Consider the following 14,833-nt stretch of genomic DNA (forward strand, 5'->3'; position numbering starts at 1 on the left):
ATGAAATATCAGACAAGTGATACGTCTCTGAGAAGTTGACATTCATGTTAATGGCACTAGAATTCTATCTGTGAAAACCAGTATTTAATTGCCAAAGAGTGTGATAGGGAAAATGTGGTCAGAGAAGCACCAATGTAGAAGTCTCTGAGCTCCAGTGGTCATTGAATGGGTTTTAAGAGGAAGTTGTGGTTGTTGAACTGCATCTGGCCCTTGTATAATGGATTGGTGCTGCTGGCTATACAGACAAGAGGGGGCCCAGGGTATTGCCCTCCTGTGAAAGGTATCAAGAGAAAGATTCTTATAGTTCAATAGGAGAACTACTAGACCCCAGGGGTGAGGAGAAGAGGAATGATGTTGACAAGTACATCAAGGTCAAAGTGTGTGTGTCTTGGCTACCTCGAAGGGTATTTTGACTTTATCTCCTAGGTATTCGTACAGCTGAGTACAGTGGCATTATGAAATAGTTTTATTTAGAAAGCTTCATGTAATAGCAGTATATAGGAGACTCTGGAGTAAGTAATTATTAAAGCCAGAAGGTCCAGCCAGTAAGATGTCATTGAAGTCCACGAATGAAGAAGTAGTGTGAGGACAAGGGAAGTAACAGTGGCGTGGAAGGAGTGGATGGGAGAACAGTTATGGGGTAGGTTTGGTAGGAGTGGATGGATGGCTGGGTTTTGGAGTTGAGAGTAAGCAGTCGGATTCCATTCACTGCCAGCCGCCCTCATAGAGAACTGAACACATCAATAACCTTATCAAATATTCTTATTAGAATGATACTTCTCATAATGTGTGCTATAGAGCACTAATCTTCAGAGAAAAGTCCCCTGAAAAAAGACTTTTTGGCCATGTAACTTTGAGATACATCCCTGAATGAATTTCTCCTGTAAATTCACGCTATGGACACACATTTCAGACTTTGAAAAGTCATGAGTAAAGAAATTGTATAACTTTTTGATCGGTTGTTTCCTAAACTGATTTGGCCACAGAATCCACATTTTATGCAAACCATAGAGACTGACCTCACTAGAATGCTATCCTTTAAGCTTCTGGGGGTGAAAACAACCTTCCCTTCAGAAGCTTGTTTCTGAAGGGAAAACCAAATTCACGCAATTAAAGGGTTTAAGGTAGATGGGCGGCATTTCTGAATTTACAAATCCTGTTATGGTGAAGATCAACTGTATTTAGCATATGACAGCTGGAGGCAATGTTTTGTACTCTTTAGAATCAGATAACAGAAAGATAGTTGTTTCTGAAAAATAGGAGACTCTGACTGCCATATAATAGACAAGACCTAAAGTGCTATTTAATGATGTTCATAGATTTATTTCAGGAAAGGGGCAAGTTAACTAAAAATATTTTATTTGAGGATGAACTAACTCTGGCTTATGGAATATTAACCATGAAGAAAGGGGTGATGGAGTGAGGTGGTGATTCACACACATGAAATTTAAGTTTTTGGCCAGGCGCGGTGGCTCACGCCTGTAATCCCAGCACTCTGGGAGGCCGAGGTGGGCAGATCACGAGGTCAGGAGATCGAGACCATCCTGGCTAGCATGGTGAAACCCCATCTCTACTAAAAATACAAAAATAGCCAGGCGTGGGTGGTGGCGGGCGCCTGTATGTAGTCCCAGCTACTTGGGAGGCTGAGGCAGGAGAATGGCGTGAACCCGGGAGGCAGAGCTTGCAGTGAGCCGAGATTGGGCCACTGCACTCCAGCCTGGGTGACAGAGCAAGACTCCGTCTCAAAAAAAGAAATTTGAGTTTTTATGCTTTGATGCCGAATATGTGAATTGTGGCTAGCGTTTTAACATAGTAGCAGTAAGAACATTTTCTCAGACTTGGGCTTTTGTTTTTCAGGCCCTGAAGCAGAGACCACGATTTGTAGCTTTAAAGAAACAACCTGCATATTTAGGAGGGGAGAATCTGGAACTTCGAGATTATCAGCTAGAAGGTCTAAACTGGCTAGCTCATTCCTGGTGCAAGTAGGTAGAAAAATATGAGTGCAATTTTCCTTACTGTTTCTGGCTTCTTTATTGTTAGATGTCAAGAATTTTTTTTTTCTTTTTTCACACCCTTATTGTATCTCAACCAAGAAATCTTTATGCTGCATATTACAGAAATAAAAGATGATTGAGAGAAATGCTTCCTGGGAGTTTTTATGTATGTGTAATACCATTTTATTCTGATCTAAAGAATACTTTATTTCATTATTTGGTGGGTAATTTGTCATAGCCAGAAACCTGTATCATCATATGTTACTCATGAGTGTATATAGCAAGTTAAGTCACTCAAATCTTTAATGTGGAAGGAGTTACTCAGAAGAAAGAAGAAGATGTCTTTTTCACATGTATTTTCTTTCTAGGCCAGGGAAGCCTTTAAATTAATTTCCTACAGTAGTGCTGTAGAGAGTGTGATTCCCCTCCCTTCACTCCACTCCCTACCTATATAGTCTGTAGGATTATCCTGTTCAGAGGAAGGTTGAACCTGTGAAAGTATCCTTTTTATAAGACCACGTTAATCTTGGGGGGGTGAAAAAAAGATGAGACAGTGATAGCACTGGAGGTTTAAAGGTACTTTTGGGAAGTACTTACAAATTTCCTTCACCAATTTCAAGTAGTTCCTAATTACTAAGTGCTAGGTGTTAGAAACAAATGCTTGTTCCTCGGTGCTGAAAAGAACTAGTGCTCAAGGAATTTTCTCAGCAAGGCAATTTTACTTTCTGCAGAAAGGGTGCTTCTTGGAAGCCTAATTGTCATGAGAGCACACCGAACAAAGAAAAGCAGAGGTTTTTATCCCTGACTCATTGGGTTCTTACTGCTGCGTCCTGTCTCCATTGGCTGGAGCTGGACCGCACAATCTAGACTGATTCCGATTGGCTAAAAGCTTAAAACTTTCCTAAATAGATAAACGCGCAGTGGAAAACAAAGGAAGGGGGTTGTTTACAGGAAATTAGGAGAATAATAACATTTCCAAATAAGGAAGGGGTGTAGGCTGTAAGCTGGGAAATGCCTGGGCACGTTCGGACATGTCTGAGCAGGTTATAGTCCAGAACAAATAACCTGGTTAAAGTACAAGGACATAGAATGTACTTATTCCCTTACTATATTTAACAGCCACATAGGGCTTAACAAAGAGTTATTAGCAAAAAGCAAGGGAGCTTGAAGGAAGTTAATTTCTAAAAGAAACTGTTATTTCTAACACTTGTTATTTATTCTTTAACAAAAAGGGAAACTTTGAAGAGGAACTTTTTACTTTTCACATGCGGATCCATTAGTCCTCGAGAATTTAACAGTGAACCTATATAGATGTATTTTGCTGTCCTTACAGAACATGCAGTGTAAGAAGTACCTTTAATGCCAACCTACACACTTCTTTCCCGAAGTACCCAATTAAGTGCAAATGCTTAATGTCTTTAGTGTTTTATAGTAAAGCAAAAAATCCTTATTTAGAATTAGAAGTACAGGCCTGTGCAACATGGCAAAACCCCATCTTTACCAAAAAATACAAAAATTAGCTGGACATGGTGGCATGCTTATGTAGTCTCAGCTACTTGGGGGCTGAGGTGGGAGGATCGCTTGAGTCCAGGAGGCCAAGGTTGCAGTGAGCCATTTTCGCACCATTGCACTCCAGCCTGGGTGACAAAGTGAAACTTCACCTTAAAAAAAAAAAAAAGGACAGCTTAAAAAATATTTTTCCCCTCATTGCTGAAAGGAAGCTTTCTAGTTATAGAGATGCATTTACAGTGACTTTTTCCCAAGTGAACCATCTCCTACTTTTTATCTGATAAAATCTAGTACAATATTTAATACTCAGTTGTGAAAATTAGGTGTCTTGAGAAGATTGAGAATGTGGGTTTGATATAATGATTCTGAATTGCTTAAAAATGATTTTTCCTTTTAGAGGTTAGTGGGACCTAATTCATCTAAATGACAGTTAATAAAAGTTAGATGAACTTTAATTGTGATCTAATCCTCTCATTTTATAATTGAAGACTCTTAGGAACAAAGGTGCCGTGTACCCATCCAGAGTCACATGGTGTTTTGTGTACAGTCCTTGGCCAGCATTTTTTAGACTTTTTATTTTTTAGTTTTTTTGAGACTGAGTTTTGCTCTGTTGCCCAGGCTGGAGCGCAGTGGCATGATCTTGGCTCACTGCAACCTCCGATTCCCAGGTTCACGTGATTCTCCTGCCTCAGGCTCTTGAGTAGCTGGGATTACACGCACGCACCACCATGCCTGGCTAATTTTTGTATTTTTAGTAGAGACGGGGTTTCACCATGTTGGCCAAGCTGGTCTTGAACTCCTGACCTCAAGTGATCTGCCTGCCTTGGCCTCCCAAAGTGCTGGGATTACAGCCATGAGCCACCGTGCCTGGCCAGCATTTTTTTACTTTAAACCAAAGGAATAAAAATCAGTTGAAAAGGGCTCAAGCACCTGTTAAGCCCTGGTCACAGGAATGTTACTACATTACATAATGTGCTATTTTGGTCTGGTTCCAGAAAAACAGGTGAATCAATTCAAACCTACTGTAGTCTGTATATGTAGACAATGGCATTTTCTAGGGGCAGGAAATACTGGAGAAACTTAACTGTGCTTCCTCCTGAATAGTATTGAAAAGTGAGGGAAATAAGAAGGAAATTACTCAAAGGAATATACTACATCGTTTAAACTGTGTAGAAAATTAGGTGTACCTGAGATGTATAGGGGTATGGCTTCATCATTCTCCCTTTCCCAAGTGTGATCTTCTTTGTTTCTGTATTTTACCCTTTAAACTAGCTAGTTTGTAGAACACAGAAGGTATTTTTAGAAATTATGTCTTTTTGGTGAATTAAATGTCTTGTTTTTTGAATCAGTTAGGTTGCCTTTAACTCATAAATTACTTTTAGTTCTTTCTGATTTGCTGATTAAGCACATATTATATATACGTGCAAACTTTCAGTGTCCTTATTTTCCAGAACCTTTTTATAATGTTTGCAATCTGATGTCTTACATGTAATCCTAATTTCCTGCCAAAATGACTGTATTCTGTTTCCCAAATATATTTTCCTAACTCTGGCTGTTTCTTCAATTTTAAATGTTTTTCTTAGATATTCTTTTTCCATTAATATCCTGTTGAAATCTAGCCCATTTTGTAGAGTAGTGTTTCTCAAACTGTGGTTTTAAGGTAGTGCTTCCCAACCTTTTTGGCACTAGGGACTGGTTTCGTGGAAGACAATTTTTCCACAGGCTGGGGAGGAGGGAGGGGGATGGTTTCTGGATGATTCAAGCACATTACATTTATTGTGCACTTTATTTCTATTATTATTACATTATACTATATAATGTAGAATCAGTGGGAGCCCTGAGTTTGTTTTTCTGCAACTGGACGGTCCCATCTGGGGGTGATGGGAGACAGCAACAGATCACCAGGCATTAGGTTCTCATAAGGAGTGTGCAACGTAGATCCCTCACATGTGTAGTTCATAGTGGGGTTCATGCTCCTATGAGAATCTAATGCCGTTGCTGATCTGACAGGAGGCGGAGCTCAGGCACTAATGCCAGCAATGGGGAGCGGCTGAAAATACATATGAAGCTTCCCTCCCTCACCCGCTGCTCACCTTCTGCTGTGCAGCTGGGTTCCCGAGTGGGGAATCCTGGTCTGGTCTAAGGAATACCTGAGTCAGAATCTCCAAAGGTGTTTGTCAGCCCTTTTCCATATATTGTTTAGTATATCTAGGGTGGGGTCCACAAGTATGATCTGTAGCCTACCCCTGCTTTAGACCAAAGTGTATTTAAAACAAGCCCCATGCACCTATACATGTAGGTCTAGGAAATAGTGTGGGTGGCATTAAACAACCCAGTGGCCTGCAGTGGAATGGGGTGGGCCAGCCACAGGATTCACCAGCGGTGCTGATAGCTTTCTCTATTGATGGAGTCTAAGGTTACATGCTTGTCTTCACTTTTTACAAAGCCTGTCTTCTCTGTGATAAAAGATAGCCTATGGAAGGTGATGTGAAAAGCCTAAAGGTAAAGAGTCTGACAAGGCTGTCATAGTAATCCAAGTCTAGGTAGGCCACTTGTTATTCTGCTTTTTATGGTTTCTACTTTCTTCCTTATGTTGAAAGCTGAAGTAATTGCAGATGAGAAGAAATACATTTGAGGCTTATGAATGACACCTTGCTTGGCTGTTATTGTGAAGCATTGGTGTCGTTGCTGTTTATGCACATTCTGTGTTTTGGTGAACTAATGATTTTTTTGTTTTTATTTATTTTTTCTTTCTGCAGAAATAATAGTGTAATCCTTGCTGATGAAATGGGCCTAGGAAAGACCATCCAGACCATATCATTCCTCTCCTACCTGTTCCACCAACACCAGCTGTATGGCCCCTTTCTTATAGTCGTCCCTTTATCCACCCTCACCTCATGGCAGAGAGAGTTTGAAATCTGGGCACCAGAGATTAACGTAGTGGTTTACATAGGTGACCTGATGAGCAGAAATACGGTGTGTAAACAAAAAGAGCTGGGTTAGAATCTGTGTTATAAATGTAATTTAGAAATTCACTTAAAGCCTTCAGTAGATCATCAGTAAAATTTGTGGTTATTATTCTGATACTGTGCTGTGTTCTCAATATTAGGAGGTTTATCTATCACAAAAGTGCAACTCAGATGTTCTTTAACAAATATGCTTACTAGTTAAAAAGCAACAGCAGTATGTGAGTGGGAATCTCTTTTAGCTGGGTTGCAATATTAAATTTTTCTTCTCTCTGCCCTTTTTACTTCTAAGATTGCTTTATATGAGATAATATGGAGTTAATACTTTGTGTAATATTAATATTATTTTTGCTTTCTCAATAGACATATTACTGAAAATAATCATTCTTCGAATTTCTTAATTTCTTAAACAGTGAGGTTGCATAACTTATAAAAAAGGAATAAAAGTAAAGGAAAACAAGCTATTTTAGGACTGTAGAAATAAGAATTATCCTAAACTGTTACCAAACTTTATTTGGGCATCATGAATTTAGAACACAGTGACTTAAGTTTATCTTTGTTTAGCAGATCTTTTCTTTATAGTAACTTTTTTTAAAGCACCTACTGTGTGCTAGATGTTGCGCTGGGTGCTTTACGTATAATACCTGTAATCTTCATGATAGTCTTCAAAGCTGATGGCATTCTTTCCTGCTACTGATGAAGAATTGACTCAGAGAGTCTTAACACGCGACCCTAGCGAGCAAGAATGTGGCAGAGCTCAGATTCGGACACAGGTGTTTCTATCTAGTCTAGAGCTTTGCTCTTTCATCACTGTATATAAACTATTTCTGGGAAATTGCTTGTAATAAGAGCAAGCCATTAGCAATGTTTAAATATTTGAGTTGCATGTTGTAACCATATATTTTCATACAAATTCAAATTTATTTTTGGTAAATACTTTCATTAAAATTGTGTAACTTAAACACTGGCTGATTTCATTGGCCTAATTTTGAGTTTCTAAGAATATAGTTTTAGCTTTGTTAAATCATTAGTTAACCGTTAAAGACGAAAAAAGAGAAATTTATAGGTTTACAAAATAGCGTAAAGCACTACATTCCAAAAATGATTGCAAACAAAGAAAATGAACTCTAAAAAATTGTAGTCAGAGAAGTTTTCCTTGCTATCTCCAGTTCTCCTTTTCTTTGTTCTTTTTACCCCCACTTGGGGGCGATCACCTGCAGGCACTTACTGTCTTGTTCTCCAGTTCCTAACTTGACAGCCAAACTGCAAGAGCGTTGTCATGAGTCTTCGTGCTTGCTGAGTGTCCAGTTATACTTCAGTATGAATGTACTCATCTTTGTGTTCTTTTACATTGACGTTATTATACGTATTGCATTATATTTTCATCTTACAAGCCTCCCTTTTTGTTGGGGGACATATCTCTTTGGTCTATGGTTGATGAAGTTCCAAAGGTTGGAATTTGTTTTACTTGTTAATATATGTATTTTCCTATTCAAAAAGTAAATAAATTGCATTTTTAAAAGAAATTTCTAAGGATCTGGGAGATCCCTTGTTGAGTTCCAATCACCAGGGTTCAGTAGCTGATGAAGTGCATTTTCTTCAGTAGATGTATTTCTGGGGGCCAGTTTCTTCTGATTCTGGCAATAAAGCTTTTGCTGTTCGGTGGTCAGTGTTTTAATTCTAACTCTTACTGCTTTATAGTTTGGTTGCTTAGGTCATTTTAGAATGTGAGATATTCATTGAATTCTAATCAGATTTATTTTTTATTTGGCATGTTTCTATTACATCAATCACAAAACTTATGTGATATAGAAAGGTAGAAGTAGAAATTATGTCTTAATTATGTTTTTTTCTTATAGATACGGGAATATGAATGGATTCATTCCCAAACCAAAAGATTGAAGTTCAACGCACTTATAACAACATATGAGATCCTCTTGAAAGATAAGGTGTGTAATTAATATCTAAAAGGCTAAATCTTTTCCAGTGCGACTTGTCCAGATGGTAGGGTCTGTTACTGTTCTGTGGAGCATGTTAGAAATAAATACTTGAAAGTTAAAAATAAAAAACAAATGGTAGGGTCTGTACCTCCTACTTGCCATGTTACTTTTCTTCTCTTATTTCAAAAAGCAAGCAAATGAACAACCAGAAAAATTACTTTTCAAAGGATATTAACGTTATAAATAGAAAACAGAACCCTATAGATGAGGGGACCTTAGGTCACCAAGTCCAGTTGAATTAAACAGAATGAAAGGGTATTGAATAGGTCAGTAACTTACCTGAGATTATTGTCAGTCATTGGATGCCATCTCAGGTATTTCCCTTGAATGTCATCTTAGGCATTTCCTATTGTATCATTGTTAAGGCATTTCTCCAGAAAAGATGATGTGAATGGTCTTTGTGAGGAGGACAAAAATAAGAAGCTCTTTAAATACCGCCTTTCTGCTAAGAAATATATGTGGTAGGTAGATCCCATTGGTATTAAGTGCAAACAAGTTGAGTTTGGTGGCTCTTGGTGTTTGTGTGCTTCAGGGTTGGGGTGGAGAATAGGCAAGAGAAGGACCATAATTAAGGGGAGAATACAGAATCATATGGTTTTTTTGTTTTATTTTTGCCCAGCATAGCAATTTTTGTGTTCTTGCTGTGGGGCATGCAGTAATAGCTGGTATAAGAGGCCCACCTATACCTTTTAGATGATGATACTCTCTTTTGAATAGCTACCAATCTGGCAACTAACAGAATAAACAGAAGAGGCCTAATATATATTGTCAGTGAAGAATAAATGTGTCAATTTATACCTTTGTAATGGTATTTATACAGAGATAATTAACACTTGAAAGCACTTGTGGGTTCCCTTCTGACCTGGTGGCTCGTTCTGTTTTGTTTTTACTTTAGACTGTGCTGGGCAGTATTAACTGGGCCTTTCTGGGAGTGGATGAAGCCCATCGGTTGAAGAATGATGACTCTTTATTGTATAAAACTCTGATTGATTTCAAGTCCAACCATAGGCTCCTGATTACGGGGACCCCTCTTCAGAATTCCCTCAAAGAGCTCTGGTCCTTGCTGCACTTTATTATGCCGGAGAAGTAAGCTCCTTCCTGTGTATTTCAAAAGATGCTAGAATGTCTGAAATGCCAATGCTTTTTAACTTTCTTAGTAGACCTTAGGGAAAACAGATGGCATGGTTTGGGGAAAGCAAAGCGTCAAATGGAGGCAGGGATGGCGGTAGTAAAATGTTTCATAATCAATGAAAGAAGGCACAGAAATTAGCCTGTTAAGGAGGAAAGCAGTATTGTCTGCTGAAAGGCTGAATTAGTTAATGCACTTGGGAAATAATTGTTAAATAGATAACATCAGACCTTTTCACTGTTGGTATAAGATAATCAATATAAGTAAAATGAAATATACAAGGTACACAAGCACTGAAAAGTATGTTATACTCAAATATCTGATAACCGAAGCATCAATTTTACATCTTATTCACGTATTATTAAAGAACTATGGAATGTGTTTATTGAAAAGATTTTTATGGGAGAGATGATATGCACATTTCATAAAACTTAAAATTATCCAATGGTATTCAGCGATACTTAGAATAACATCTATATTCATTAATTTGGAGGACTCCACTCAGTCTGGCCCCTTGACAATAGTCTGATTCCTCTCATCCACTTTCTCCATTACTCATTATGCTTCAGCCATTCTGGCTATCTTTCTGTCCCTTAAACATGCCAAGCCATTACTATTCCTTCTTGACTAGAATTATATTTCTTCTTGTCTTCACATGGCCAACCACCTTAATGTTTCAGCTCATCTTAAACGACCACCTCCTTTCAGAAATCTTTTGCAGATTGCCTAACCTAAAGTAGCCCTTTAGACATCTTATCCCTAACCTGTTTTAGTGTCTATATAGCATCTCTTTTTACATTTATGTTCTCATTCATCTCATGTCATTAAATTATGTATGAAAATCGCAGGGATTTTGTTTGCTTGATTCATTGCTGGTTCCCATTGTCTAGAATAGCACCTGGTGCACAGTAAACAATTCAGTTAATAGTTGTTCAGTTGATAGATATATGCTCTACAATCTTTTTTTTTTTAATTCAGGATTAAATTTTATTTTTTACTTTTATTTTTATTTTTAAATTTTAAATTTAAATTTGTTTAGTAACTTTATAGTTTGCAACCATCATCATTGTCCAGTTTTGGAACATTTTCCTCATCCCAAAAAGTTCCCCCTTGCTTGTTTGCAGTTAACCTCTGCTTCCACATATAGCCTTAGGCAACCAGTAATCAGCTTTTGTCTCTAGAGATTTACCTTTTCTAGAAGTTTTATATAAGTGGAATCCTAATATGTAGGCTTTTGTTTCCGGCTTCCTTCACTTAGCATATTTTTTTTGAGATTCATTCATGTCAGAGTCTGTCAGTAGGTGTTCTCTTTCATTGGGTAATATTTCATTGCATCCAGTTACCGGTTGATGGACATTTGGATTGCTTTGTTTTGGGGTTATTATATCTTTGTGTGGACATATGTTTTTCTTTCTCTTGCTTAGAGACTTAGGAATAGAATTGCTGGATTGTTTGGAAAGTTTATGTTTAACATTTTAGAAACTACCACGCTGTTTTCTAAAGTGACTACCATTGTGCAGTCCTACCAAAAATGTTTGAAGGTTCTAGTTTCCCTGCGTCATCACCAGGACTTGGTGCATTGTCAGTCTTTTTGATTCTAGCCGTTCTGGCGAATGTGTGTCATTGTGGTTTTGACTTGCATTTCCCTAATGACTAATGATGTTGAACGTCTTTTCATGTGTTCATTAGCCATTTGTATGTCTTTGGTGAAATTTCTATTCAAATGTTTTGGCATTTTAACTCAGGCGTCGTGTTCCGTCATTGGAACTCTAAGCATGTGGGAATTATTTATATCCTACTGCTCAAGGTCATTGCCAAGGTCTGATTGCAAAAAATTCAAAAAATTGCAACCTCTATCATAAATGGGTTAAAAAAATTGGATTGTTTGTCTTATTATGAGTTGAAGAGGTTTTTTATTTCTTTTAAAAAAATTCTAAAGACAAGTGCTTTATCAGTACAGTCCCCAACTTTCTATAGTTTGATGTAAAATGTTTTGACTTTTCAGTGGTATGAAAGCAATACACTTTCAGTAGAAAGTATACTTTGAATGAACACAACCATTCTGTTTTTCATTTTCAGTGTAATATTCGATAAATTACATGAGATATTCAACTCTTTATTATAAAGTTGGCTTTGCGTTAGGTGATTTTGCTCAATATCCTCATGATAAGCGTTCTGAGCACATTCAGGGTAGGCTACGGTGTGATGTTCTGTAGGTTAAGTGCATTAAATGCATTTTTGATTTAACAATGTTTTAAACTTACGATGGGTTTCTCAGGACATAACCCTGTTGTAAGTTGAGGAGCATCTGTATATAATTTGAACATATTTTATCCCAATCTGTGGCTTCTTTTCACTTTTTGAATGTTGTCTTTCAAAGAGAAAAAGTTATTGATTTTGATGAAGTTTAATTTATGGATTTCTTTGTATGGATTGTGCTTTAGATATCATATCTGACACAGATTTGCCTAACCTATGGACACGAAGACTTGCTTCTTTATTTCCTTCTAGAAGTTCTAGCTTTTGTATTAAGTCAGAGTTACATTTTGTTTATAGTGTGAAGTGTGAGTGCCTTAGTTCATGTTTTTGTAGTAGAATTTGGGAAATTGTTCTAGTATCACTTGTTGAAAAGAATATCTGTTCTTCATTGAATTGCCTTGACACTGTTGTTGAAACTCAGTTGACACCATAAATGTCATGCTTTGTTTCTGGACTGTCAGTTCTGTTTTATTAATACATATTTCTGTCCTTCTGCCAATGTCACACTGTCTTGATTAATGTAGCTTTCGACTGTTTTTTTATTTTTTATTTTTTTTGAGATGGAGCCTTGCTCTGTCACCCAGGCTGGAAGGGAAGTGGCGCAATCTCAGCTCACTGCAACGTCTGCCTCCCGGGCTCAAGTGATTCTCCTGCCTCAGCCTCCCAAGTAGCTGGGATTACAGGCACGCACCACCATGCTCAACTAATTTTTTGTATTTTAGTAGAAATGGGGTTTTGCCATGTTGGCCAGGCTGGTCTCGAACTCCTGACCTCAAGTGATCCACCGTCCTTGGCCTCCCAAAGTACTGGTATTATAGGCGTGAGCCACTGCACCCGGCCTAGACTGCTTTTTAAAAATGGAGAAGTACAAGTTCCATTTTCTTCTTTTTCAAAATTGTTTTGGTTATTCTAGAATTCTTGATACTTCCATGTACATTTTAGGATCAGGTTGTTAATTTCTGCAAGAAAAATATGGAATTTTGATAGAAATTGTGTTGAATCATATATCAGTTAAAGCAAAATTATTAATATTGAGTCTTCTAATCCATAATCATGGAAAGTTTTTCTCCATTTATTTAGATCTTCTATAATTTTTCTCAGTGTTTAGTGGTTTTTAGTTTAGAAATCTTATACATTCAAAATATTCTTTTAATTCTGACTATATTTGGAGTGGAATTTTTAAAAATATAACCTATTATAGAACTACAATTGGGTTTTGTATATTGATCTTACATCCTGCAAACTTGATAAACTTACTGTTTTCTACTGTGTGTGTATGTGTGTGTATATTGTTCTGTATTTCTTAGTATTTTTCTATAGACAGGATTATGTTTTCTGTACCTAAAGATTTCTTTTCCAAAATGGATGCTTTTTATTTCTTCTTCTTGCCTTATTGTATTGGCAGGAACCTCCATCTTAAATAGAAATGGTGGGAGCAGGATGTTGGCTATAGATGTTTTTTGTAGATAACCTTTATTGGGTTGAGGAGGTTTTCTTTTCTTCCTAGTTTGTGAGGTTTTAATAAAGAATGGATATTAGGTTTTGTCAAATGCTTATTTTCTGTGTCTGTTGAGATGACCATGTGGTTTTGTCCTTTAACAATATAGTATATTACATTAATTGCTTTTTAGACATTAGGCCAACTTTTTTTTTCCTAGCATAAATCTGACTTGTTAACAGTGTTTGATACTTTCTATGCATTGCTAGATTCAGTTGGCTAATATTTTGTTAAAGATTTTTGCATCTGTTTGGTGTTTTTTTTTTTTTTTTTTTTTTTTTTTAAGACAGAGTTTCCGTCTGTTGCCCAGGCTAGAGTACAATGGCACCATCTCGGCTCACTGCAACCTCCACCTCCCAGGTTCAAGCATTTCTCATGCCTCAGCCTTCCAGGTAGCTGGGATTACAAGCATGCACCACCATGCCCGGCTAATTTTTGTATTTTTCGTAGAGACAGTGGGGTTTTGCCATGTCAGCCAGGTTGGTCTCGAACTCCTGGCCGTAAGTGATCTGCATCTGCCTGTCTCCGCCGCCTAAAGTGCTGGGATTACAGGCGTGAGCCACTGTGCCTGGCCGCATTTGTGTTTTTTATTTTAATTAGGATTTTAGTCTATAGCTTTTTGTTTTGTTTTGATGTTTACGTTGCTTTGGTTTTGGGATCATAAAATGAATTGGAGAGCGTTTCCCTTCTGTTTTCTGAAGGAGTTTGTGTAAGTTTAGTGTTATTTCTTCTTTAAATATTTACTAGAATTCACCAGTGTAGCCATGTCAACCTTCACTTTGTGGGAAAATTTTTAATGACTAACCTGGTTTCCAGTTACAGGTTCACTTAAGTTTTCTATTCTTCTTGACTTAGTTTTGTTAATTTGTGTCTTTCTAAGAGTTAGTCTGTTTCATCTAACTTGTCCTAATTTGTTGGCATAAAGTTATAGTACTCTCTTAGCCTTTTAATTTTAGTTTTCTTTTTTAAGAGACATGGTCTTTCTCTGTCACCCACGCTGAGTGCAGTGGTACGATCATAGTTCACTGTAACCTCGAACTCCTGGGCTCAAGGGATCCTCCCACTTCTGTCTCTTGAGTAGCTGGGGCTGCAGATGTGCACCACAATGCCCAGCTAATTTTTAAAATTTATTTTTTGTTATTTGTAGAGATGGGTTCTTGCTGAGTTGTCCAGGTTGGTCTCGAACTTCTGGGCTCAAGTGATCCTCCCGCCTCTGTTTCCTAAAATGCTGAGATAATAGGCATGAACCACTGTGCCTGGTAGATTCTTTTAAGGATCAATAGTGATTAAAGTTAATTTTCTTGATTATGGTAATTTGTATCTTAGCTCTTTTTCTTGGTCAGTTCTAGCTAAGGGCTTAACAATTTTGATGCTCTCAAAGAAGCAACTTTTGACATCATTGGTTTCTTCCTCTGTTTTTTCTTCTCTTTTTTTTTTTTTTTTTTTTTTTGAGACTGAGTTTTGCATTTGTTGCCCAG

At 37.4% G+C, this 14,833-nt stretch overlaps 1 protein-coding gene across 2 annotated transcripts in view, besides 1 other annotated feature; it reads left to right on the forward strand.

The window, feature by feature from the left end:
• Positions 1 to 14,833, forward strand: part of CHD2 (chromodomain helicase DNA binding protein 2) — a 127,673-nt gene that overhangs the window by 46,771 nt on the left and 66,069 nt on the right. The window contains exons 13-16 of one of the 2 annotated variants that reach the window (NM_001271.4): positions 1,858 to 1,982; positions 6,263 to 6,479; positions 8,329 to 8,418; positions 9,365 to 9,555. In NM_001271.4, coding sequence (NP_001262.3) covers positions 1,858 to 1,982; positions 6,263 to 6,479; positions 8,329 to 8,418; positions 9,365 to 9,555 — 623 coding nt within the window. Of the gene's footprint in view, positions 1 to 1,857; positions 2,141 to 6,262; positions 6,480 to 8,328; positions 8,419 to 9,364; positions 9,556 to 14,833 lie in introns of those variants that run through there. The other variant, NM_001042572.3, reaches the window with a different exon arrangement.
• Positions 2,595 to 3,794: an enhancer, noted in NCBI's record as "MED14-independent group 3 enhancer chr15:93492919-93494118 (GRCh37/hg19 assembly coordinates)". NCBI's record gives its function as "activates an origin of replication core promoter dependent on BRD2, BRD4, P300/CBP and CDK7 cofactors, and independent of MED14, by STARR-seq in HCT116 cells {active_cell/tissue: HCT116}" and the evidence as "EXISTENCE:reporter gene assay evidence [ECO:0000049][PMID:35650434]".

This window comes from Homo sapiens, chromosome 15, assembly GCF_000001405.40.
Source record: "Homo sapiens chromosome 15, GRCh38.p14 Primary Assembly".
NCBI lineage: Eukaryota > Metazoa > Chordata > Mammalia > Primates > Hominidae > Homo > Homo sapiens.